Raw genomic sequence first — 27,838 nt, 5'->3', positions numbered from 1 at the left:
CCATGTATCATAGGTCTAAATATTTAAAAGTTTGAAATCTTGCTAACAGACTGTACATATATGTGTGTATACACACACACACACACACACACACATACACACACACACACACACACACACATCCCATCTTCCTAACTTGACAAACATATCTTGTTAATGACCTAGGAGGTCAAGTGGCTTGGAGTTCTTTGCAGGAAAGGTGGTGGGGAGCAGAGCCCCTTCTCTGTTCCCCACCACAGGGTGGAACCAGCCTAGATATCCAGGTTCTGCTCACATCCTCCTGCTACAATCCCTTGCTTGACCACCCCTTGTGCCTAGAGATGTGCAACTCTGCAGTGAGATTACTCCTGAGAAGGTGGCCATGAGGAAGAGGCCAAACAGGCCCTGGAAGCAGGCTCAGGAATTTGGGCAGAGAACTCCAGAGTGTTCTAGAAGGAGGATGGGGGTCTCCATATGTGCACCCTGTCTCCTTGGCCCATGGACTCCTCAGAGGAGGAGAGCCAAAGCAGGACCCTTAAAATGGGGCCCAAGTCCATGATTCAGGGCACCCCCTACAGACAGATGAGGTACTAGAAAGGCAAACAAAATGCTGCTGGGGAATTAGTGGAAAAGGAGGACGGTTCACCAGCTCTGGAGCTGAGGCCTAGTTGACCATCCCTCCTGGCATAGAATACCCCCTGGCCAGAGAAGATACTTGTCCTCCAAATTCAGGTGTGTATCTCCTGTGATGGGGCTAACACAGTTTGCTTCCTCAACAACTCCGTTTTCTCTGAGGATCAGTGGCTGCAAAGGCTCCCTGCAGACTGGGAGATTACATAGGGCTCACCACGTAGGGCTGCTTCAGCTCAGAGGAGTACCTTTTTTTTTTTTTTTAATTCACACAAAGTGCCATACAAGGTAGCTGAGACCTGCTGCTGCCAACCCATTTCCAACTATACGGAGCTGGGCGATTCTCAGAGCTCTGGAGCACCCCTTGTGGTAGAAGAGAGTAAAACACATTTTTTTTCTTTTTTCCCTTTTAAAATTATTAATTTTTTTATTTGTAGAAATTTATGGGGTACATGTGAAATTTTGTTACATGTATATAATGCATATTGGTCAAGTCAGGGTATTTGGTGTGTCCATCACCTGAGTACAATACACTTCTGTTGACTATAGTCACCCCACTCTGTTATTAAACATTGAATTTACTCCTTCAATCTAACCCTATGTTTGTGCCCTTTAACCCACTTCTCTTCATCCTCCCTCTCCCACCACTCACCCTTTCCAGTCTCTGTTATCTGTCTTTCCACTCTCCACTTCTGTGTGATCAAACTTTTCAGCTCCCACATATAGGTGAGAATGTACAACATTTGTCTTTTTTTGCCTGGCTTGTTTCACTTAAGATAACGACCTCCAGTTCCATCCATGTTGCTGCAAATGATCTTTTATTATTATTATTTATAATTGACACATAATAATTGTACGTATTTGTGTGGTACAGTGGGATATTTTAATACATGTGTGCAATGTGTAATAATTAAATTGGGTAATTAGCAAATCCATCACTTAAACATTTATCATTTCTTTGTGTTGGTAACATGCAAGTTTTTCTTCTAGCTATTTGTAAAGATGCAGTAAACTTCTCTTAACTATAGTCACTGCACAGTGCTACAGAACTTTCAATACGAATCCCTGATACCATTTTAGTTCATGAGATTCTCAAAAGTAGAGAAGACCCTAGAAAGCCACCAATAAGTGTTTGGATAACAGACACCTCCATAATCCAAGGGTAAACGGCTTGATTTACTGACCCAACTAGGTCTGTGATGAGAATAGCCTATGTAGTGGTATTGGTGACTCTGTCCTCATTATCTTTGTTTTATAGTCATAATTAATCAAAACCTACCCTCTCACCTTTCTTGTGCTCATGACAAAGAATTACCTGCTCTAAGCAGGAATTAACTGAGGGAGTAGATTGGTAGTGATTCTTCTTTGGGATGTGAAACAAGAAGCTTGGAAATATAATCAAATGCACTGTTATTCTAAGGTATGACAGCAAGAAGCAATTTCAAAATATGCCTCTCTTGTAAACCATTGGGCCTTAATGACACAAGAGTGATTTTTCCATTACTGACAAGAGCAAACAAGTGCAAATAGAGGTGGGTGATTTTTCCTGACAGCTGAACCAGGCTTCAGTTAGTTTCAGAGAAACTTTCTATTTGAGTTGACCTGTTCGTGCTCCATCAAGTTGGGACATCATTTTAATGGATCCAGTGAATAAATCTGGAGGAAATAATGTGCCCAGGACTTGGGTATGGTTTTTTTGTTTTTTTTTTTCTGTTTTAATTCACTACTTGGAACCTACCTCTACAGTGTGGCTTACCTTTGATGGCCAATCCCAGTCTCTTTTGGGGAATCATCTATGCAAGATAAGAATAAGGATGAGGGCTGGGAGCGGTGGCTCATGCCTGTAATCCCAGCACTTTGGGAGGCCAAGGAGGGTGGATCATCTGAGTTTGGGAGTTTGAGACCATCCTGACCAACATGGTGAAACCCTGTCTCTACTAAAAACACAAAATTAGCCAGGTGTGGTGGCGCATGCCTGTAATCTCAGCTACTAGGGAGGCTGAGGCAGGAGAATCACTTGAACCTGGGAGGCAGAGGTTGTGGTGAGCCGAGATCGCACCATTGCACTCCAGCCTGGGCAACGAGATCGAAACTCTGCCTCAAAAAAAAAAAAAAAAAAAAAAAAAAAAAAGAATGAGGATGAGGATGAGGACAGCCAGGCTCGGTGGCTCACGCCTGTAATCCCAGCACTTTGGGAGGTGAGGCAGGTGGATAACCTGAGGTCAGTAGTTCTAGACCAGCCTGGCCAACATGGTGAAGCTCCATCTCTACTAAAAATACAAAAATTAGCTGGGCATTGTGGTGCACGCCTGTAATCCCAGCTACTCAGGAGGCTGAGGCAGGAAAATCACTTGAACTTGGGAGGTGGAGGTTGCAGTGAGCCAGATCATGACATTGCACTCCAGCCTGGGTGACAGAGTGAAACTTCATCTCCAAACAAACAAACAAACAGAATGAGGATGAGGGGAAGCCACAAGAGGGAAGAAGAAAGAAGAGCTAACTGTTTGGATCTGAAGAAAGGCTTTGCAGGGTGAGGGCTATCAGCAACTGTAGGGAGAGATCTGATACAAATATAACATCTATTTCCTTGGGGTCCTCAGATACTTTTCGATCCAACTTCCATGGAGTTTTCTCCCTGCGGCCCTCTAACCTCTCTCCATGCTGAGGATGCTCTCCTAACAGTGCTTGTGTTGTTTGGAAACAGTAAGTGTTATTAATCTGAATTCAGTCACAGAAGCAGAACCACGATGAGCTGTGGAGGAAGCGATTTATCATAGGAATTAGTCCTGGCCCCATTGTGAGAGGGATGGGGGATTGAAGGTCCAGGAGGAAATTGGAAGATGGGAGGAGCCACCCACCATCAGTCTGAGAAGCCCAGCACATCCAACTGTGCAAGTGGAAGGGGAAGCCGGTTGGGGAGACCTATGGGAAGCTGTTCCTACCTCTATGGGCCTGCAGCCAAGTGTCCAGTGGTGGCCCTGGGGCTCCTGTTGGTCAACAGGATCAGCACTCACAAAGAAGATCTGGACACAGAGTGAGGGAGAGTGAGGACAAGCGGGATCCGATTTCACGTCTACCTCTGTTTGTTACCATACCTAACCACAACAACCGTTGCAAAATAACCGCTCCTACTTCACTTCCACCTCCCATATCTTATGCAAATTCTTCTTTTGGTCAACTCTAACCCAAAGCCTTCAGGGAAGGGAATCCTGGGAAATGTGATTCCAACTTAGCAAGTCAGAACACTACACACTACCACACTAGGAAACAGTGTGGCCACCGGCAGAGCTCCCCCAGCAGTTGGCAGGGTACCCAGATGCAGAAGGTATAGGATGAATGAATGGTGGGGAGGGGTGAGGGAGTCTGAAAAGCATCCTTCAACCAATCAGAGCACGTTTTACTGTCCTGGAGCTTAAAATAGAGGAGAAAGCATTCTAAGAGTTTTCCTGCTAGGATGGGACAAAGGATATCTTTACTTGGCAAAGGTGAGTTTAGGTGGACCAGCTGCCTTCCCTCTAAACTGAGGTAACAGTCTGCAGCCAAGGTTTCCATAGCCCTTTGGTGCAGCCAGATTTAAAAAGAATGTTGTTCTTAGAAAGCCTGAAGCACATGCATATTTAAAGAGTTCTTTTAACACAGAGTTATCTGAGAGAAAATTACCTTAACACAAATTCCGAAGACTCCACATAGTTAAGATGCACAAATTCATTATCAATGGTGCTGAGAATAGCTCCTTGGAAGGGATAAAATGTTTATTAGAATCAATTAAAGTATGTTTGAGAGATTTATTTTTTCCATCTTTATTCTCCTATTTAAAGAAAGTGCTGAGTTGTATATTAACACTTCAAGGTCTCGGTCACTGTTTGTCTTGAAAAAAAGAGAGAAAATGTTTGTCATTCCAGGAGCATAATCAGTTGAGCCAGTGCACAATGACATAGTTAATTCACCAACGGAATTTGTTGCCATAGCTTCAGCGAGGGACGGGGTAGATTAAACAATAGCCTTTTTCACGACTGCAGCTTTCACCACAACCCGCCTGTCCCCGCACAACAGGCCATCATAGCGCTAGTTCAGAGCACAGCAATTGTCAATGAACAACAGCCCAGAGGGGACAAGAGGAGGCTTGTGGTAAGTAAAGCAAGAGTGCCTAGCAACTCAAATCTCTCCTTATTCAACAACTGGGACACTCCGAGCTCCTCCGAGCTTATCTTTGAGCGCTGGGCACAGAGAGCCTGCTTGACCTTTGGTCAAGTGAGCAACAAAAATTTCATCCTGTGACTCAAAAGAACTCCAAAGGGTAGAGGCCTCTAGAGAAGATAAAAAGATCAGGAGCAGGCATGGTAGGCCATCAGGAGTGCATCATGGAAGAGGACAATCGCGCTCCCCAATTGTGGCGCAAGGTAATGTGAATACTTTCTTATTGATTTTTGCCTTATTGAATATCAAAGTCAGTTCAAAAAGTAAAGTCCTATGTATCTGCAAGTGTAATGAATCTGTGCTAATTAATAGTCACACTAAAAATGGAAACATTATCTTCTCCGTCTTAAGTTGATTTAAAAAAAGACAAAGAAAAACAAATTGTGACTAATATTTCTTTATCCCCTTGCAGAGTATGTCAGCTCCCTGGATAGACTTAGATGACAAGAACAAATTTGCTTACTAAAAAAAAGGTCAGATCAATATGCTATGGGAGCCTGAGGGTATTGCAGAAATGTTTTAACAAAATGTTCTTTATCCTATGAAATGAGAAATTCTCCTAGTAGAAACGTCACAAAATCCTGATTAGAATACCCATTCCTTTTATTCTGAGATGGAGTTACGCTCTTGCTGCCCAGGCTGGAGTGCAATGGCACGATCTCGGCTCACTGCAACCTCTGCCTCCCGGGTTCAAGCGATTCTCCTGCCTCAGCCTCCCAAGTAGCTGGGACTACAGGCGTGCACCACCATGCCCAGCTAATTTCTGTGCTTTTAATAGAGACAAGGTTTCACCATGTTGGCCAGGCTGGTCTCGAAATCCTGACCTCAAGTGAAGACAATCCATTTCTGAATTCAATGTTATGCAACTGTCACTTAAGTGAGACCACTGTATATGGTCTTTTCTCTTGGGCAGAGGGTGCCCGGAGAATGTATTTCAAGGGGAACCTTGTTAAACTGAATGAGTTCTAGATGGAGAAAGTTTAGGCAGTGGGACAAAGTGTTAAGAAGGACCCCAGATGATGTGAAGAAGAGATTGAGGGCCAGAGGCAGCTTCCCAACAACGAGGCAGAGGGAATTTCTCTGCTTAACGGTGAAGCTGGTTTCACTCCACTACCCTGAGAATGGACACAGGCCCTGGTCTTTCCTGTACCAGCATCCCTTCAAAACCTTCTCATGCCCCTTGGAATGGATATGGGTGGCTGGTTTAAGCACCATATTACTCAGAAAGTAGTCTAGGTTCATATCCAGCAGACACTTGAGCTACATGACTGATTGATCATTTCGCCCAGTTGGTCCCTTCCCCAGTCACCTCCATGTTATCTTAAATTTGGAGAAATTTGTACTGTATATTGAAGACTCATGAGTTTTACTAGCCAATTGTATTGAGTTAATGGGGGAATCAGGAGGCATTGATTGATTGATTGATTGATTCATTCATTCATTCATTCATTCATGCCTCATTTCAAAATTAGATTTGAAGTAGTATCAAAATAACTAGATGTAGGCCAGCCACAGTGGCTCACACCTGTAATCTCAGCACTTTGGGAGACCTAGGCAGGCGAATCACTTGAGGTAAGGAGTTCTAAACCAGACTGGCCAACATGGTGAAACCCCCTCGCGACTAAAAATACAAAAAAATTAGCCAGGCATGGTGGTGGGCACCTGTAATCCCAGCTACTTGGGAGGCTGAGGCAGGAGAATTGCTTGAACCCAGGAGGTGGAGGTTACAGTGAGCCAAGATCATGCCACTGCACTCCAGACTGGGTAACAGAGTGAGACTCTGTTGCCAAAAAAAACAACTAGATTCAGTTCTGGACTGGTGCAGATATGGAAAGTTGAGATGATTCTTCTATGTTCCAGTCATGTAGAATTAAATCTGTGCAAATATCACTCCGTATTCTGATACCTTTTGCAAATTGAAAATAGACAAAGGCCTCTAATTTCATGGTCTCCCAAATGTATCACTTATCATTATTATAATAGTTGACATTATAGGGTGACATGTCCCGGGCTAAGTACTTTCCATGGCTTATTTTATGTAATTGTATTCAACAAAAGGACTCAAGCTCCTGACCATTTGCCTATGCTGCTAATTTGTGCCTTGATTTCTCTATTAAATTGAATAGGCTTATTTAACCTCCTTGAGCAATTAAAATGGATTACATTATTAATGGTAACAATAATAAAGAATGATTTTATTAACATTTTTCTCATGCTTTTCGGTTCTCAGTGTACTTTTCTCACACAGGCAGGCTCAACTTCTGTAAATTAAACTTTCTGACTACCAGCCCTTTGTGTACCATAGATTGATACCCCCACCCAAGCTGACACACGACCATTTCTGGTTACTGCTGGTGGAGTTACTTAACAGCCAATAGTTACAAGCATTGCTGCTAAATATTGAATCTGAAAGGTGAAAATAATCATGAACTTAATAATCTTTTATAGCTCTCAGGAAATGGAAACTACCTTTAAATAAGAGAGTTGAGTATTTATTTTCCACATGTTTAATTTTGGTACTTGGTTGGTACTTATTTGGAAATAAGAGAATGCCCAGACATTACCTCAATTCCTCTTACTTCAAATACTGTGATGTAGATATTATTTATATTCCCATTTCCTTCCTTCCTTCCTTCCTTCCTTCCTTCCTTCCTTCCTTTCTTTCTTTCTTTCTTTCTTTCTTTCTTTCTTTCTTTCTTTCTTTCTTTCTTTCTTTCTTTCTTTTTTTTTGAGACAAGGTCTTACTCTGTTGCCCAGGCTCGAGTGCAGTGGTGGAATCATAGCTGACTGTAACCTCAAACTATTAGGCTCAAGTGATCCTCCTGCCTCAGCCCCCCAAGGAGCTAGGACTGCAGGCATGCACCACCACATCTGGCTAATTTTTAAATATTTTGTAGAGATGGGGGTTTTGCTGTGTTTCTCAGGCTGGTCTTGAACTCCTGGCCTCAAGCGATCCTTCCACCTAAACCTCCCAACGCACTGGGATTACAGGTATGCGCCACTGAGCCCTAGCCTATATTCCCATTTTCAAGTGAGAAAATTGAAGCTCACAGAGGTTAATTGTCCAAGATAGCAAGGATAGAGCTGGAATTTGGGTTCCCAGCATCCAATTTCACTTTTTCTTTAAATCTACACTGTTGAATAAGGTAGCCGCTAACCACATACAGCTGTTTAAATTAGAATTTTAATTACTTAAAATTAATTAATTAAAATTTAAAATTCAGTTCCTCAGTCACACTAGCCACTTTTTTTTTTTTTTTTTTTTTTTTTTCTGAGACGAAGTCTCACTCTGTCACCTAGGCTGGAGAGCAATGGCACGATCTCGGCTCCTGGGTTCAAATGATTCTCCTGCCTCAGCCTCCCGAGTAGCTGGGATTACAGGCACCCACCACCATGCCCAGCTAATTTTTGTACTTTTAGTAGAGACGGGGTTTCGCCATGTTGGTCAGGCTGGTCTCGAACTCCTGACCTCACGTGATCTGCCCACCTTGGCCTCCCAAAGTGCTGGGATTACAGGCATGAGCCACTGACACTAGCCACATTTTAAGTGCTCAGTAGTTATATGTGGCTCGTGACTATTCTATTTGGACAACGCAGATATAGAATATTCCATCATTGCAGAAAATTCTGCTTTAAACCATAATATCTCTTTTAGATATGCTGAGGCATGTCCTCAAAATATGTTGCAGTTCTGTTACAAGTAATATGGATTTTAAATTTTACAGTAAAATCTCATTCATTTGAAGTCCCCTCATTTGCATAGCACAAAGTTAACTTTGATCTGCAAATTAATAATATAGATAAGAGTTAAGAAGATGGTTAAATGCACTTCAGAGACCAAAGATTTTTAAGCACCATCAAATAACTCCAGAAGCACTCACTTAGATGCAAGCAATTGATATGATAATTACACATCATTTTTATTTATTCATTAAAACAGGGATCCCCTAAGGTGCCCTTGTAGGAAATAATGTGGTTAGCCTAGTTATTTCTACCAACCCTTCTGCTATTTTGAAATTCTATGTGAAATCATTTTACACTACTTGGTTTATATCCAAAGGCAAGGAGGAAGGAACCTTCCTCCTTGCCTTTGGATATTAAAGTAGAATGGTAGCATAAAACACTTTCACACTGAAATTTTGACTGGATCAAGATCTAATTCCAAAGCCCTCACTTCTTCCACTATATTCTGTGATTCCCTGGAAAAGGTACTCCTGTGGGCTCTGCACAGTGCCTGGTATGAAATAAGGGTTCAATAAATATCTGCTGATTGACTGACAGAGACAGTTCTTTCAAGAGACCATTTATTGAAGTGGACTCCGATTTTCTACAGCGAATACATTTATCAAAAGGAAAACTGACTCCCAGTTTGTTCTTTCCTCTTTACCAGTCTTTGCTGCCAAGTCTTCATGGTGAGATAAGGGCTTCCTGTCTGTGAGAAAGAGATGATTCCCAGGCATTCACTTGCGGGGAGGGGGAGTGTGATCTGGCCAGAGGCTTTGGAAACTAAATCTTTCAGCTCCTTCAGAAGTGAGAACAGGGTGGCAAACATGCTGCCTTCCCAGACACCAGTCATCAGTTAGCTCCATCAGTCCTCAGATCTGTGGGGCACATGTTCCAGGTCCCATGCTGGTTCTAGGTAATAAATAGGAGAGAAGAGAGAATGTTGAGTTATTAGAGAAGAATGGCACTTGCATTTCCATAATATCCTTAGCAGAGGTGGTTTCTTACAGCTTGCTGGGACTGGTCTATGACATATAGCAAACATTAATGCCATGTCTTTTTAGCAAAAATAAAACCCAATTCCTCAATTTAGCAGTGAGCATCAAAGGATATGGTTTGTCCCTTCCTTGTCTTCTTTAAGGAAAATTTTTAGCCATAGTGAGGAAAGAAAAATTAATAGAAACAATGTAAATGTACATTAAATATTTAGTCCTTATTTGGAAGGAATTGAACAACTTAAAACTCTCCAAATTTATGAAGCTTAGATATCTGAACATTTTTTAAAAGCCACTTAAAGGGAAAGGAGATATTATATTTTTACCTTTTTTTTTTTGAGATGGAGTCTCACTATGTTGCTCAGGCTGGAGTGCAGTGGTGCGATCTCAGCTCACTGCAACCTCCATCTCCCGGGTTCAAGCGATTCTCCTGCCTCAGCCTCCTGAGTAGCTGGGATTACAGGCACCCACCACCATGCCCAGCTAATTTTTGTACTTTTAGTAGAGACGGGATTTCACCATGTTGGCAAGGCTGGTCTCAAACTCCTGACCTCAAGTGAACTGCCCGCCTCGGCCTCCCAAAGTGTCGGGATTACAGGTGTAAGCCACTGCATCCAGCCTTATTTTTATCTTTTGTTCCAAACATCAGTAGGCCTTCTTTCCTCTTATCTATCTCCCTGCAATTCCTCTACCTGAGCCCTAATATTACAGGTATGTATGTGTACAGCCTTCAAGCTAACCCAACACAGTTTTGTCTCCTTCAGAAACTAAGGGGTAGGCTGATTCAAGAGTCCTCTTAACTCACCTAGTGGATGTATAATCACTGCCATAGGCTGCTCTGCTGATAGTTCTCACTCTGAACATTGACAGGTGGAGCAAAGGCTAATTCTGAATCTGGCTCTCCGCTTGATCTTAGCCAAAAGGCCAAGAAGCGACGTGAATCTGGCTCTCTAGAGTGCACTAACCTCTCCCTGGCAGACCCTAGATTCCTACCCACTGTGGTCCTCTAAGGCAAGTTTTGGTGACCATGCCTTCCCTAACTCCTCTTTGGCTCCCTGAAATGGCCCAATTACCATGCAAGCAGATGTGGAGTGAGAGGCTAGACTTGTGAGTGTCTCTTGTGAAATCTGGGGCTTCCCCAGTCTTCCCAGTGCTGGGAACAATGTGAGAGAAAATAAGTCTTATGAGTTTATCTTATTTTTGCCCTTTATTCTCAAGGACTTGGAGCCAGCTCTCAAATACTATGGGGTAAAGAAAATGGTGCAACTGGCATAAAATTAATTTTGCCCCATTCTCACAATGAGGCCTCAAGAAGTGAAATATATTTTTTATATCAGTCCTGCCCCAGGTATTAGAACATTTTAAAGTTTTCTTTGTCTTTCCATGAACTACAAATTCTCTCTCTCTCTCTCGCTCTCACACACACACACACACACACACACACACACTCACACACATACACGGAAAGAGAAAAGAAAATTTAAAAATTGGTAAATATGGCCCAGGAGAAAGACAAAAATAATACCTATTTCAAATCTGTTTTTCTTAGCTCCATTGATGTAAGTCATAAATAAAAGTATAGAATAACTTAATGATAATTTCTTTTGGAAGCAAAGACTAACATGATAATTTTTAATAGTACCATTATATTTACCAAAAAATCAATCTTTAAGAGTTTGTCCTACATATATCTTTACATATATCTTCTTGTTCTATATATCCTTTGAGAGTGGAGATGATCACATTTATCTTGGATGCATGACTTCCAACATGCTTAGTAAATGTCTGTAGAATGAGTGAAAGGAATTTAAATCACTGTTTATTCTGTATCCTCCTTGCCCAGAGAAACTCCTGAGTTTGTCCATCTAAGGTCATCTCTAGGCTGTTCAGGAGAATGAGTGGGTTTCAACCCAGATTTTGAGTGAGACATGGATCAATGTTGGATGGACCAACTCCAACTTGACCCTAGCGTCTAAATTGATTGACATTATCATTAACACCAGCAACACAGATGTTGTGATCACTGTTTACAAGGCTCTCTACCTCAACCCTGCCAGACTCCTAGGGTTGTTAGAGGTTTCTGATGTCTGAAGGCCAGGCGAGACCCACCTAGAGATACCACAGATGGCAGACTCAACCTTCTACAACTCCTCAGCTTTCTCAGAGGTAGGCAGGAGCTGGGGCAGCCTCGAAGAGAGATAGGTAAGACTTGTGCACCTACCTGCCTCATAAATTTTTTTCCATGTGGTTACTACATCTTACCTTAGGGTGGCAAATGAAGGACTTTCTTAAGTCTCACACAAAGAATTCAAAACAAAAAAATGGAGAATTAATAAAAAAGCTTTGTAGGGCTTTCTCCATTATACAAGGTAGGAGAGAGTTATAGTCACCAGGAAGTACAGTAGAAGTCTTCTTACCCTCTACAGTGGGGACCAGTTGGTCAGTTAATTGAAAAATAAAATGGGGCCAGGCGCGGTGGCTCACGACTGTAATCCCAGCAGTTTGGGAGGCCGAGGCAGGTGGATCACCTGCAGTCAGGAGTTCGAGACCAGCCTGGTCAACATGGCGAAACCCTGTCTCTACTAAAAATACAAAAATTAGCTGGGCGTGGTGGCACGCGCCTGTAATCTCAGCTACTCAGGGGGCTGAGGCAAGAGAATCAACTGAACCCAGGAGGCAGAGGTTGCAGTGAGCCGAGATCACACCACTGCACTCCAGCCTGAGTGACAGAGCGAGACTCTGTCTCAAAAAAGAAAAGAAAAGAAAAATAAAATGAGTATAATGGGGACTCACTTAAAAGTGATAAATGCATACATTAAACATTTTATTTAAATTTAAAATAAATATATTATTAATTTGCCAAACCTTTGATTGGGCCACTGATTAGAGCTCTGTGTTGTATTTTTTCATTAGGCAGACACATATGCATTGCCTATTATTTCCATTTTTAGTTTATTCTAAATTGAGTGAAAACTTAAGATATCTTCAAAACACTTTGAATATGGAATCCTAGGTGTTTTTCAATGTTGTCCCCTAGCTTTTACAGTTGTCTTGCCCTTACCTAATTCAACAGTAATTTTTAATTTTAATTTTTTTTTTGAGACAGTCTTGCTCTGTCACCCAGGCTGGAGTGCAGTGGTGCTATCTCAGCTCTCTGCAACCTCTGCCTCCCAGGTTCAAGCGATTGTCCTGCCTCAGGTTCCCGAGTAGCTGGGACCACAGGCGTGCGCCACCATGCCCAGGTAATTTTTGTATGTTTAGCGGAGATGGAGTTTCACCATCTTGGCCAGGCTGGTCTCAAACTCCTGACCTCAAGTGATTTGTCTGCCTCAACCTCCCAAAGTGCTGGGATTACAGGCGTGAGCCACTGCACCTGGCCAAAGATGGGCTATTTTAACAAGAGAAATATAATCTGTTTGTGGAGCAGTGTCTGAATCCCCTTCATCTCAATCCTCCCCCATTGGCATAATAGTTGGAAACAAAGACTACAGAGCTGTCAGGAGATGGTACGTCCTTTCCACGAGTTAATAAAGTGATGCCCCGCTTTCACAATCTATTAATTAAGAAGGTAATCAGTGCATGCTTTGAGTTTGGTAAGTGAAACTTGAAGGCAATAAAATCAGAACACTACTTGGATTTTTTTTCTCATAAAGAAATGAATAACAAATTAGGGCCACAGAGCTAGAGTAATCACATTTCGAATTTCTCCTGAGCATGTCTTTAATAACCTGTATGCGTTAGGTAAGAAGAACAAAGAAAGGCAAAGTTAATTACCCAGGAAAGGTTCATCAAGAAATTTTGGTTACATTAGCCCAGGGTTTCTCAACCTTGGTATGACTGATATTTTGGGCCAGATAATTCTTTGTTGTAGGGGCTGTCCTGTGCATAGGACATAGGATGTTTAATAGCATCCCTGGTCTCTAACCACTAGATACCAGTAGTACTCCCCTTCCCCAAGTCATGACAACCAAAAATGTCTCCAGACATTGTTAAATGTCTCTTGTGGGACAAGATCACCCCCATTCAGTAGCTGAGAACTACTGAATTCACCATATACATTCCTTCTCATTCCCCATCCCCTGGAGCCCTCCAGGGTTTGCTGTGTGTTTTGTTTTGTTTTGTTTTGTTTTGTTTTTGAGACGGAATCTCGCTCTGTCACCCAGGCTGGAGTGCAGTGGAGTGATCTTGGCTCACTGCAACCTCCACCTCCCGAGTTCAAGTGATTCTCCTGTCTCAGCCTCCTGAGTAGCTGGGATCACAAGTGCCCGCCACCACGCAGTGGCTAGTTTTTGTGTTTTTAGTACAGATGGGGGTGTCACCATGTTGGCCAGGCTGGTCTCAAACTCCTGACCTCAAGTCATCCCCCCCAGCCTCGGCCTCCCAAAGTGCTGGGATTACAGGCATGAGCCATTGCGCCTGGCCAGTTTGCTGTTTTAAACACTTAGAATAAAACGCTTCAGATCAGGGCCATCTATCTACATTTTCCAGGGAATTATTTGGAAAGAAATCGACTAGATCAAAATTACTTGTCCAGATAACAAGAAGGGCTCTTTGCATTTCTGTATTGAAAAGCAGCAGGCAAAAAGAACAAAGGAAGATGGTCTAATAAAGGTATTTATTTAAGGCATTCAGCCAAACACTTGACTTATATTTAATCCCCACAAAACCCCCAGGGGGCATAAGTAGTTTTATTTTATTGTGGAAGAAACTGAGGCTTAAAGAGGTCAAGTACTCGCTCAAGAACACAGAGTTTGTAACTTACTGGTGGAGCTAGAAATCTGACAGCAAAGTTTGTGCATTTGTGCATATTGCCTCAGTATATGTACTTAAAATGTCATACATCTAAAAAAGCAAGGTGACCAGTTTTTATCCTTCTTAAAGTAATTTTTTTTATTAGGGAAAGCTTCAACCATACACAAAATTAGACAAGATATTAATAGTACATTACCATTTGTACTGTTCATGTACTTGCCACCTACTTCAACAGTAATCAACTCATGACCCATCTTGCTTCATCTAGAGCTTCTCAACCTCAGCATAATAGACATTTTGGGCTAGAAAATTGTTTGTCATGGGTGTCAAGCACACACAAGACAAGGCAAGGTCTGAATGACTTGACTGGTAAAAGTATAACTAATCACTTTTAGATTAAGACAGTTTATTACTTACATAGCAAAGGAAACAGTAGCCTGTGGTGCCAGCTTCGTACTGTGCTTGTCCCACATACCAAAAAGAAGGACTCTACAACAAAAGGGGCCGGATAACCTCGACTCCCATTGCTGAGGAGCCCACTGTAGATTGCAACTAAGTGTTTTTCTGTTCTGTAACTTTGTACTGGGAGGGGCAGGGCAGGAAGACCCATATCCCAACCCAAACAAAGAGACTATTAGAAACTGCTTCATGACAGTTGCTCAGGGGAGATAAGGAGGTGAGTGGCAAATAGCCCTGGAACAACTCTTCACAGGCCTCCCTGTTCCAGGAGAGCTTGTTCCAGGAGGATCACAAGGCGTTCTCCAACACTCAGATGAGCTGCACGTCAAGCCTTTGCCTCTATGGACACATTCAAGGTCATCAGGGTGCCGGGGCAGAGCCATTATCTTACAGTGGACGATTGTCCTGTGCATTGTAGGATGTTTAGCAGCATTTATGGCCTTCACCCACTAGATGTCTACAGCACCCCCAGCCCCAAGATGTGACAACAAAAACTGTCTCCAGACATTGCTAAATGTACCTTGCAGCAAAATTGTACCCAGTTGAGAACCACTGATTCTATCCACTCCCCACATCCAAACAACATATTTCATCTGCAAATATTTCAGTATATATTTCTAAAATAGTTTTGAAAACATAAACACAATACCTGTTTGTTTGTTTGTTTGTTTGTTTTTGAGACAGTCTCACTCTGTTGCCCAGGCTGGAGTGCGGTGGCGCAATCACAGCTTACTGCAGTCTCAACCTCTTGGGCTCAAACAATCCTCCCATTTCAGCCTACCAAGTAGCTGGGACCACAGGCGCACACCACCACACCCAGCTAGTTTTGCTTTTTTATTTTTAGTGGAGATGAAGTCTCACCATGTTGCCCAGGCTGTTCTCAAACTCCTGGGCTCAAGGGATTCTCTGGTCCTGGCCTCCTTAAGTGCTGATATTACAGGTGTGAGTGACCTCAAGCAGCTACAGTATCATTATTATACCTAAATAAATTAACAATAATTCCTTCATAGCATCCAGAAATTGTTCAAATTTCTAACTGTTTTATAAACATTGTCATTTTTACAGTGTTTTGAATTAGGATTCAAATAATACAGTGTACATATTGCAATTGATTGATATGTCTTTTAGATCTCATTTAATCCATAGGCTTCTTGCAATTTTTTGGTTGAAGAAACAAGGTTTGTTCTATAGAGTTTTCCACAATCTAGATTTTGCTGATTGCATCCCTGTGGTGTTAACATACTCCTTTATCCCTTCTGTATTTCCTGTAAATTGGCCTCAGATCAAGAGGTGTGATCAAAGCCAGGTTCTATTTACTTGGCAGACTATTTCATAGGTAGTACATGTACTTCTATTAGGAGTACATAATGTTTGGTATTGCCTGTCTTTCTGTCATGTTAGCAGTAGTTGATGCTAAGTGCCTAAGCCCAATCTTTCCTTAGGGGTTATAAAGTGGACATAATTCATTACCATCTTACCTTCTTCATTACTCATTCTAAGACAAGATACTTCTCTTGTTTGGTGACCTAGAGGGACAGTTTGTATAGGAAAGGTTAAATAAAGGCTTGATCATTTCCCAGTTTTCAAAATAATGTGTTTTTCTCTAGCATCCTTCAATGCAGACAAATGAGGCTTAGGGGTTACTTTTGATAGTATTATGAACTCATGCATTGAAAAACATTAGATACGTTTCCATCAATTGCAGTTCTTATCCTTATTGATGCTTAAACTTTTCATCTTTGGCTGTCAGGAGTCTCCAAAGTCTTTTTGATGATTTCTATCTTTTTTTAAAAAGGATAATATAACTTATATATTCATATGAGTATTGTTATCTTCACACTTTCAAATGATGACCAAAGACTTATTCCAAAAATGTTTTGAGCAATGGTAGTACCATATGTGCTAGAGACTGCCATGGTTCACTGCTAATGGTTTTGCTCCTGTTGAGTTCCTGCAATTGAATGGTGGAATGAGGTTGTTATCCAGACCATTTTGTAGAAATAAAGGATTATTTTTCTTTGAAGATGTGCTTATATCATACTTGCTTACTCAAGAGAATATCTTCTCAAAGCAAGGGTGGGCTTCTGTGAAAGATCATTGACCGCATATAGCTACTCTCAGGCACCCTTAGTGTCTTTTTTTTCCTCTTTTTTTTTTTTTTTTTTGAGATAGAGTTTTGCCCCTGTTGCCCAGGCTGGAGTGCAATGGTGAGATCTTGGCTCACTGCAACCTCCACCTCCTGGGTTCAAGCGATTCTCTTGCCTCAGCCTCCCAAGTAGCTGGGATTACAGGCGCATGCCACCGCATCCAGGTAATTTTTGTATTTTTAGTAGAGACAAGGTTTCACCATGTTGGCCAGGCTGGTTTCGAACTCCTGACCTCAGGTGATCTGCCCGCCTCAGCCTCCCAAAGTGCTGGGATTACAGGCGTGAGCCACCATACCTGGCCTCCTTAGTGTCATTTGACATGGCCTCTCATCTGGCATTTTAGTAGACTAGGTGTTTAAAATGATTGCTTTTGGAGATATTGAAAGTTTTTACATAGCCAGCTTCCTGGGACACATACACAAATAGGGTTTCTCACTCTTGATACAAACAAAATAGAGATCCTTTTTTTCTATTTGAGAGCCAAATAGTTTTGGGGTCAAAATCCATGTATGAATAAAGTGTCTCATCATCTCTCCTTCATCACAGTGGTTCTGAACTTTTTTTTTGTTCTAAACTTTTAAAAGCCCTGATGCTAAACCCCAGGACAATTAGATCAGAATCTTTAGGGAGCAGGAATCAGCCCTCAGTGTTTTTGAAAGCTCCTAAGGTGATTCTAATGCACAACCAAGGTTGAGAACCTTCCAGAATAAAGCAAAGTGGATAAGCGTCTTTATTAAGAGATTAACTTAGACTTCCTGCTATGGTTTGAACGTGTCCCCCAAAGTTTATGTGTTAGAAACTTAATCCCCAATGCAACAGTGTCTAATAATAGGTGATTAGGTCATGAGGGCTCTGACCTCATGAGTGGATTAAAGTCATTAACACAGGAGAGGCTTAGTTACCACAAGGGTGGATTTGTTATAAAAGCAAGTTCAACTCCCTCTTGCTTCCTTGCTCTTGCCTTCTCTTGCCCTTCTGCTTTCTGCCATGGGATGATGGAACACAAAGGCCCTCACCAGATGCTGGCACCATGCTTTTGGTCTTCCCGGCTTCCACAACTATGAGCCAAATACATTTCTGTTCATTATAAATTACCCACTCTGTGGTAGTCTGTTATAGCAGCATAAAACAGACTAAGACACCCCTAAAGTGTTAGACACTCTTTGTCAAGAATAGGATATTTGTATACTCGTGGGCTTTTGGAAAGATCATTTCTCACCAGCACCACCTGTTATTCACAGATTTACACATTGCCCACAGAGAAGAAAACCTGGTGAGGCCACTTCTGTTTGTATTGCAGAGGAAGAACCCATTTGATGCCACTTTTAGGAAGATTTATTAGAGGATATGGAGACATTATCTTCAATGTGTGTTTTGTGATGACATCCTGCACTGGCACTTACTGAATGAGTCAAATATGATATTTATAGGGCCTTAATAAAAGCTTTTATCTAGCTAGGTTGTATTATTAAATGTCAAACAAACTAAATGAAAAGCTTTCAACGTGAAGGCTATCCAAAAAGAGCAGAATGAGCAGAGCATTAAAAATGTTGAGGTACCAAGGCATCATGCATTGAGTGGGGGCTTTGAGGTCCCACAGTCCTAAATGTGAAACTCAGTTCTGCCACTGACCAGTTCTGTGACCTTGAGCAAATTATTTAATGTCTCTGAGCCCCAGTTCTTATCTGCAAACTAGACATAATGCCTGTTTCTGATACAGAGAAGGATGTCATAAATTACTAAGTCTTAAAATTGTAGACAATGTTAGCAATTGTCTGCAATTGAATGACTGTTAGCCATATTTCCATAATATCTGGAGATGAGATACCAGGCCCAGCTCATGCTAAGGAAGATGTGATAGGAAGAATAAGGGCCTCCCAAAGATGTCTACATTGTAATTTCCAGAACCTGTGAATATGTTACCTTATATGGCAAAAGAGACTTTATAGATGTGATTAAGTTAAAGGTCTTGAGATGGGAGAGATTATCCTGGATTATCCAAAGGAACTCAATGTAATTACAAGAGTCTTTTGAAGTGAAAGAGGAAGGCAGGAGACTTAGAGAATATGTGACCAGTGAAGCAGAGGCTGGAGTGATGCAATTGCTGTCTTTGAAGATAGAAGAAAGCAGGCCAGGAGTCAAGGAATGCATGCAGCTTCTAGAAGCTAAAAAAAAAAAAAAAAAAAAAAAGCAATGAAACAATTTCCCCTAGAGCCTCCAGAAGAAATGCAGTCCTGCAGGTACATTGATTTTAGCCCACTGAGACCCATTTCAGACTTCTGACCCTGGTCCAGAACTTTAAGATAATATCTTTGTGTTGTTTTAAGCCATCACATTTCTGGTACATTGTTACAGCAGCCGTAGAAAACACACAGAAGCACAGAAGATTAAACGGAGTCTCTCTTTGAGCATTCAAAGACTCTGAGTGCAGATTTTGCAAGACAAAGAATCACTTTGGAGACCATGTCATTCAAAATCTATTAGTATAAAGTCCGATGATTGTAATAATAGTTTACTTGCAAATGAATGTATCCCTCCTGGCGTCAGATGGTCCTGATGACTCACTTGTCAATCAAGCTCATTTGTATCATATGCAGAAGGCCCCCCGGCACAATCCTCAGGACCCTGCAGTACTTGCTGTAGTACTGGGAAACTGCCTGGTAGGACAGCAAGGAGGAAATCTGGTTATGGTACACCAATAATCAAGAAAGACCACTCTTTAGGGGTATGCAAAGAAGTGTACATATGGTCACCCATGCTGGAGGATAATTTGATAACAGTGTCAAAAAAACATGTATCAAAAGCTTTAAAAACATAAATACTCTGACTCAGCAATTCTACTTTAAGAAAATTCATCCTAGAAGGAGAAAAACTGGATTAATATGCACATCATTCACCTGCTTAAAAAAATCCTTTTCTGGTTCCTATAATTGCTTATAGAATAACACTTGGGGAGACTGAAGGGAGACAGCAGTACATCCACTTATGTTAGCTAATTAAGACTGGCAGGTGTTCATACTGGGCGTAGCTTGGTGTAGACTTGAACCTGGTTAGATTATTAACCTTGAAGGTCTCTGAGCCACCTTTGCTACATTTGCTCTTTTTCATTAAAATGACTGAAACAGTGATTGTGACTAAGAGTTTCAATGTTAAGTCAGTGCCTGGCCTTGTACATTTATCATAAACTATCATCCAATTTTGTGGGTTAAATAAATTACAATTTTATATGTGTGTGCAAATGAGCCCTTAAGTGTTGAAAATTACCTATGGTCTTACTCATCCACTGACATTCAGATAATATATTTGGCATGCAAAAGTTGTGAATCCAAATTATGCTCAAATATAAGTGAGGAATATTTATCCATTTTTTTTCTGATGTATTATCTGTTTCAGCTGCATGTCTGGACTCAAACCCCATAAAGAAGGGACCAAAATTTACATGGCACTCTTGAGTATGATGGCGGCTGTATTTGGAGTTTTGATTAAACTGCACTACATGTGTGATTATTACTTGTAAACGGATGATTAGATATTAATTAGACAATAAGTGATTGTAAAGCACTTAGAAAATAAAAGTGTTTATAAATACCACCAAGTAATAGCAACAATCATTCTTTACTGACTACACAGCTGCTAATGTCAATAAGAATGATTTATTCCAGCTAAGGGCAACTTTAATTTATGCAAAAAACCCTGCCGTCATATTTGTTTTGCTAGAGCAAAACAAAATATATCATATATACAACTGATTTTATCAGCATTTAAATAATACATCTTGTTTTGATTTTAAAAATATCTCTTTTAAGACCTTCTTAAACACAGGTGCAATGACTGGTGTCCTTGAGTGCTAAGAATATTGGAGCTGGGCCTGGCGCAGTGGCTCACGCCTGTAATCCCAGCGTTTTGGGAGGCCGAGGTTGGGGGATCACTTGAGGTCAGGAGTTTGAGACCCGTCTCTACTAAAAATACAAAAATTAGCCGGGTGTGGTGGCGCATGCCTGTAATACCAGCTACTCGGGAGGCTGAGGCAGAAGAACTGCTTGAACCGGAAGGCAGAGGCTGCAGTGAGCCGAGATCATGCCACTGCACTCCAGCCTGGGAAACAGAGCAAGACTCTGTCTCAAAAAAAAAAAAAAAAAAAAAAAGGAAAAAAAGAAAAAAAAGAATATTGGAGCTCCTTACTGTTCATCTCCCCAACCAATTGCAAATATATATTTCTTTTAAATGTAAGATGTAAAATGGCATTTTGTTAGCTGTATTTTCATGTATGCAATAGGTTTGTCATGTTGGGTCTGCGCAGTTTCTCCCTAGCTCCTTAAAACTGCACTTACATTCAAATTTTGGTCACATTGATGAGTGAAGGTCATTTCTTTTTTGGTTATTATAGAAGTTAGAAAAAGAAGAAAATCAATTTTAATAATAAAACAAAGCACTTTCATTCTGTCTTCTTGATTACCACCCCCCCCCGCGACCCCCTGCAATAATAGATTTTGAAGCCCTGACTATTTTCATGTCTCACCATTATTTTTTTCCCCTAATGGGCTTTTTTTTTTTTTTTTTTTTTTTTGAGATGGAGTTTCGCTCTTGTTGCCCAGGCTGGAGTGCAATGACGCGATCTTGGCTCACTGCAGCCTCCGCCTCCCGTGTTCAAGCAATTCTCCTGCCTCAGCGCCCCGAGTAGCTGGGATTACAGGCGCCTGCCACCAGTCGGCTAATTTTTTTTTTTTTTTTTTGTATTTTTAGTAGAGACGGGGTTTTGCCATGTTGGCCAGGCTTGTCTGGAACTCCTGGCCTCAGGTGATCCACCTGCCTTGGCCTCCCCCTAATGGCCTTTATAGGTCATAGACCTGAATCAGCCGAGCTCTTGACCCACTGGTGTCCCTGGAAATGCAACTGTGTTTTGTTTTGTTTTTGACACAGGGTCTCACTCTGTCACCCAGGCTGGAGTGCAATAGCACAATCTTGGCTCACTGCAACCCTCCGCCTTCCAGGTTCAAGTGATTCTCCTGCCTCAGCCTCCTGAGTAGCTGGGATTACAGATGTCCGCCACCACGCCTGGCTAATTTTTGTATTTTTAGTAGAGACAGAATTTCACCATGTTGACCAGGCTGTCTTTGAACTCCTGACCTCAGGTGATCCGCCCACCTCGGCCTCCCAAATTGTTGGGACTACAGGCGTGAGCCACTGCACTTGGCCGCAACTGTGTTTATTTTTCTTGTCATTAGTAAATTCAAGATTTAAAATGAGTCCAAATCCACGGTTGCACAAATATGAAATGAACTGAATGAATAAAAGTAAAGAGTGCTTCATGTACATGAATTCAATAGAAAAGGGGTTAAGGGGTTATATTAGATGATGAGATCTGCATGAGTTAGCTCAGCAGGCTTGTTAATAAAGCAAATCTAACTACTGTGTATCACACAATGAGGCAGCGTGGTTTGGTGGAAAACAGTGTTGAACTTTGATTCAAGAGACCTGGATTCAAGTGATACTTCTACCACTTACTATGTGACCATGGTCAAATCACTTAACTGCTCTGAATTTGTTCATTCATTTGAAATTTTTCAGTATAAAAACATGTCAGTCTCATAGTGTTATTATAAGTCAATGTGTAAAAGCACCAAGGGAGGGGTGAAACGCTTTCTACTGAAAAATATTTTTACTACTATAATTTTCCTGGAATGGGTGGAAAGGATTTATGTATGGATTTCATTACTTAGTATGGTAGAGTATTTTCCTGTACTATTAGGCCCAGACCTTAAGCCACATGTGGACAACTGGGAAAGTGGCTCAAAACAGAGACATAAAAGTAGCAAAATTCCATAGGAGGTAATAATGCTTTCTGGGAAATCTGAAATTCTTCTGTCATCTTTACCCCGTGTTTTCCATCTCCCTTCCTCCCTTCCTTCTTCATGATACATTTCTTTTTTTTTTTTTTTTTTTTTTTGAGACAGGGTCTTACTCTGTCATCTAGGTTGGAGTGCACTGGCGCAATCTCGGCTCACTGCAACCTCTGCCTACCAGGTTCAAGCAATCCTGCCTCAGCCCCCAGAGCAGCTGGAACTACAGGTACATGCTACCATGCCTGGCTCATGTTTTTGTATTTTTAGTAGAGACCAGGTTTTGCCATGTTACCCAGTCTGGTCTCGAACTCCTGGGCTCCAGCTATCCACCTGCCTCGGCCTCCCAAAGTGCTAGGATTACAGGTGTGAGTCACGCCACCCCGCCATAAATTTCTTGTTTGGTAAATCTGGGGCAGTGAGAAGAAAATGAATAAAAAAGGAAACGTGGGCCAGGCGCGGTGGCTCACGCCTGTAATCCCAGCACTTTGGGAGGCCGAGGCAGGCGGATCACAAGGTCAGGAGTTCGAGACCAGCCTGGCCAATATGGTGAAACCCCCCGTATCTCCTAACAATACAAAAAAATTAGCTGAGCGTGGTGGCGCATGCCTGTAATCCCAGCTACTTGGGAGGCTGAGGCAGGAGAATTGCTTGAACCTGGGAGGCAGAGGTTGCAGTGAGCCGAGATTGCACCACACTGCACTCCAGCCTGGGCAACAGAGTGAGACTCCATCTCAAAAAAAAAAAAAAAAAAAAGAAAGAAAGAAAGAAAAGAAACGTGGAAGGAATAGTAGAGTCAGGCCTGGGCATGGTGGCTCATGCCTATAATCCCAGCACTTTGGGAGGCTGAGGCGGGCAGATCATTTGAGGTCAAGAGTTTGAGACCAGCCTGGCCAACATGGTGAAAACCCGCCTCTACTAAAAATACAAAAAAATTGGCTGGGTGTGGTGGTGTGTGCCTGCAATCCCAGCTACTTGGGAGGCTGAAGCAGGAGAATCGCTTGAAACCAGGAGGCAGAAGTTGCAGTGAGCCAAGATGATCACACCACTACACTCCAGCCTGGGTGACAGAGTGAAGCTTTGTCTCAAAAAAAAAAAAAAGAATTTTATGGTGGGCACCTTAATGGTATCTTGAGACCTTCTGAGATGCCCCATAAGCTGGCTCTGCAAGAAAGATTCAAGTTCAAGTAGTTTATTTGGGAGATGATCCGATTCCAGGAAATACAGGAGCATGGGTAAGTGAAACAAGGAAAGGAAGGCAACTGATAAAGGGTGCCCTGTGGCAAGTGGAACTTAATCCCACTGGGGGACTCTGGGAGTTAGGGTAGAACATGCAGTTCAGAGTTATTTCACTTGAGGGCTGAGGAAACTAGGGTATTTATACACTGACTTCTATCAATCATTGGTTGAGAGCTCTTGGGGATATGGGCTGTTAATTTTCTGGCCCTTTAGTTCTGACTTAATGGTGGTGTTGGGAGGGCAGGGCTTTCCAATGGCCAGATAAAGCCCTCAGGCAGAGAGATGCAGGTGCTGGCAGTTGACAGTGGGTCAGGTGTTGACTATGGTAACGTCATAGTCATTATGGTAAGTCCTGAGGGGATTTCGGCAGGGTTCAGACAGCATCTCCTCCAAAGAGAGTACTTTATTAGGTTGGCGCAAAAGTAATTGCGGTTTTGTCATTATTTTCAATGGCAAAAACTGCATTTACTTTTGCACCAACCTAGTAGTTCTTCTTTGCAGATCTTTGAAAATACTGTTTTGTTTTGTTTTAAGATGGAGTCTCCTCTGTCGTTCAGGCTGGAGTGCAGTGGTGCAATGTCAGCTCACTGACACCTCCTCCTCCTCCTGGGTTCAAGCGATTCTACTGCCTCAGCCTCCCGAGTAGCTGGGATTACAGGCATGTGCCACCACGCCTAACTAATTTTCTGTGTTTTTAATAGAGACTGGGTTTCATCATGTTGGCCAGGCTGGTCTTGAACTCCTGACCTCAAGTGATCTGCCCGCCTCAGCCTCCCAAAGTGCTGGGATTACAGGCATGAGCCACCGTGCCTGGCCGAAAATAATGTTTTCAACAATTTGATGACGTTGATGTGAGGACTGCTTGTAGGAAGGTAGATGTCATTTGTAGGTGTGTTCCAAGCTGAAGTTAAGGTCTCTATGGCTTGGCTTCCTCATCTTCAAAGTGGGGCAACTATACCTATCTGATTGGGTGTTGTCAGGGCTATAGGTAGGCTATGATAAGCATTAGGTTGGTGCAAAAATAATTGCGGTTTTTTGTCATTACTTTTTTTTTTTTTGAGACGGAGTTTCGCTCTTGTCGCCCAGGCTGGAGTGCAATGGTGTGATTTCTGCTCACTGCAACCTCCGCCTCCTGGGTTCAAGCGATTCTCCTGCCTCAGCCTCCTTAGTAGATGGGATTACAGGCGCCCACCAACACGCTTGGCTAATTTTTGTATTTTTAGTAGGGACGGGGATTCGCTATGTTGGCTAGGCTGGTCTTGAACTCCTGACCTCAGGTGATCCGCCCGCCTTGGCCTCCCAAAATATTGGGATTATAGGCGTGAGCCACCACGCATGGCCTGTCATTACTTTTAATGGTAAAAACTGCAATTACTTTTGCACCAACCTAATACCATAGTGCTAAAGACATAAGAGGTACTCAATAAACAGTAGAAATAATCATGATAGTCCTTGTTAGGGACAGCACTGATCTGACAAGTTCTCACAGAAGGCATGCTCTTCTTGTAGAGGTCATGGGACTCAGAAGCCCTGTTCCTAAACATTCTCTGGGACTTTTCTGAACAGCCTACCTCCAACATGTTTCCTCTGCCTCTGCTAACTGGAGATAGGACTTTAGGACTTTGCTCCAGCTTTGTTCCTCGGTTTCAGCTTTTTTGTTTCCTCTCACTGAGGTCTGTGCATCTTTCTATTTGCTCATGAGCTAACCATGCCTGTCTCACCCCAACCCTAATACCCAGCTCTTGATGACTTTGGGGAGGACAGTAATGTTCATTGTTTTTTTCTAATTATAAGACTAATATAGGGTTGGTGCGGTGCCTCATGCTTGTAATCTCAGCAATTTGGGAGGCCGAGGCAGGCAGATCGCTTGAGCTCAGGAGTTCAAGACCAGCCTGGGCAACATGGTGAAACACCATCTCTACAAAAAATTAGCCAGGCGTGGTTGCGTGTCCTGTAGTCCCAGCTACCTGGAAGGCTGAGGTGGGAGGATCACCTGAGTCTGGGAGGTCGAGGCTGCTGTGATCACGTGACTGCACTCCAGTCTGGGCAACAGAGTGAGACCCTGTCTCAAAAAAAAAAAGAATAATATATGCTCATTTTTGAATATATATATATATATATATATATATATATATATATATATATTTTTTTTTTTTTTTTTTTGAGATGGCATCTCGCTCTGTTGCCCAGGCTGGAGTGCAATGGCGTGATCTCGGCTCACTGCAACCTCCGCCTCCGAGGTTCAAGCGATTCTCCTGCCTCAGCCTCCAGAGTAGCTGGGACTACAGATTCCTGCCAACACGCCCAGCTAATTTTTATATTTTTAAAATAGACGGGGTTTCACTGTTTGGCCAGGATGGTCTCGATCTCTTGACCTCATGATCCACCCACCTCAGCCTCCCAAAGTGCTGGGATTACAGGCGTGAGCCACCGCGCCCAGCCTTGAATATTTGTTAAAGGCAGAAAAATTTGTTTTAAAGTAAAACAAAAATCTTCCATAACCCCACAGTTTAAAGATTTCACTTTTAGCATCTTGATATATTTCCTTCCAATGCTTTTTTCTGTGCATGTACATATGACATAATTGGGCTCATGTTTTTGGAATCACATTTTGCAGCCTGCTTTTCTAACACTATAATGCTAACACGTGCCCATAACATTAGAATTTCTTCAAAAACATGACTCTTAGTGAGTGTACAATACTATATTATATGGACTTATTTTTATTTGAACTATTCCTACTATTGCTGTAAGTTGTATCTTTTTTGCCTTTTATAAATAATTCTGCATTAAGCATCTTTGTACATAATTATTTGTGTGCTTCTCTATTTCTTTTGGGATAAATTACCAAGTGGAATCCCTAGGTCAAAGGGTATGAATATTCTAAAGGCTGTTAGCATATACTGACAAATATCCTCTATGGAATTTCTAATGAAGTTAACACATGCATGGATTTTTTGAAATCATTACCATAATCAAGATACATAATGATTCTTGGACGGCCACAGTGGCTCACGCCTATAATCCTAGCACTTTGGGAGGCCGAGGAAGGTGAATCACTTGAGGCCAGAAGTTCCAGACCAGCCTGGGCAACACAGTGAAACCCTGTCTCTACCAAAAATATAGAAAGATTAGACAGGAGTGGTGGCATACACCTGTGGTCCCAGATACTTGGGAGGCTCAGGTGGGAGGATCGCTTGAGCCTGGGAGACAGAGGTTGCAGTGAGCTGAGATTGCACCACTGCATTCCAGCCTGGCAACAGAGTAAGATCCTGTCTGAAAAAAAAAAAAAAAAAAAAAGCTACATAATAATTCCATTACCCCAATAAACTCTCTCCTGCTATCCCTTCATAGTCATCCCCTTCATAACCCTTATGGAATATTTAGCTCTGTAGTGTGGAATTAACTGATCATTCTTAGCTAATTGTCTTGATAGCATTACAATGCCCCCAAGTTAAAATAACTCACTCAAGTATTATCAAGAAGTTTCTGAGTCAGGTTGTAGCAGCTGCCAGGACTGGTCTCCAAAGTGGGTGGATCTGTTAAGGACTCCTCTCAGAGTGGTGCCTGAAAGAGCCTATTTCTGCCATTAAGACTGCAAGACATGCTGAGATTCAATCACAGGACTGTGGGGAGAGGAGCAGGAAGAAGCCAGGACTAGGCTGGAGCAGAATTAGTGGGAATGGAATTAGTTATAGAGCTGACCCTCAGGGCAGTTAGACAGAAGTCTAAATTTCAAAGTTCAAGGACTTGGGATGAGTAAGTGTCAGGTGTGACGGACTTAGCACAAAGTAGCACTGAAAGCTAAGGATTTGATGTGGGTAATACAATGAAGATATCCTAGGCAAAGGCAGTATCTTGGTTCAATGGGACAGGG

General features: G+C 42.1%; 1 protein-coding gene and 2 long non-coding RNA genes across 3 annotated transcripts in view; 1 reads left to right on the top strand and 2 right to left on the bottom strand.

Moving 5' to 3' along the window:
• The window catches only part of PCYT1B (phosphate cytidylyltransferase 1B, choline), a 114,801-nt gene continuing 91,654 nt past the window's right edge, over positions 4,692-27,838 (top strand). The window contains exon 1 of the mRNA NM_001163264.2: positions 4,692-5,009. Coding sequence (NP_001156736.1) covers positions 4,947-5,009 — 63 coding nt within the window. The 5' untranslated portion in view covers positions 4,692-4,946. The remainder of the gene's footprint in view (positions 5,010-27,838) is intronic.
• On the bottom strand, positions 9,097-14,762 carry LOC124905262 (uncharacterized). The gene is made up of 2 exons (XR_007068416.1): positions 14,694-14,762; positions 9,097-9,441 (listed from the first exon to the last, which is right to left on the bottom strand). It is a non-coding gene; the product is annotated as an uncharacterized LOC124905262 (long non-coding RNA).
• PCYT1B-AS1 (PCYT1B antisense RNA 1) lies at positions 19,342-27,506 on the bottom strand. Its single transcript, NR_046638.1, has 2 exons — positions 27,430-27,506; positions 19,342-19,539 (listed from the first exon to the last, which is right to left on the bottom strand). It is a non-coding gene; the product is annotated as a PCYT1B antisense RNA 1 (long non-coding RNA).

The sequence above is a fragment of the Homo sapiens genome, chromosome X (assembly GCF_000001405.40).
Source record: "Homo sapiens chromosome X, GRCh38.p14 Primary Assembly".
Taxonomy (NCBI): domain Eukaryota; kingdom Metazoa; phylum Chordata; class Mammalia; order Primates; family Hominidae; genus Homo; species Homo sapiens.
The sequence above is the reverse complement of the archived record's forward strand: the minus strand, read 5'-3'. Positions and strand labels throughout refer to the sequence as shown.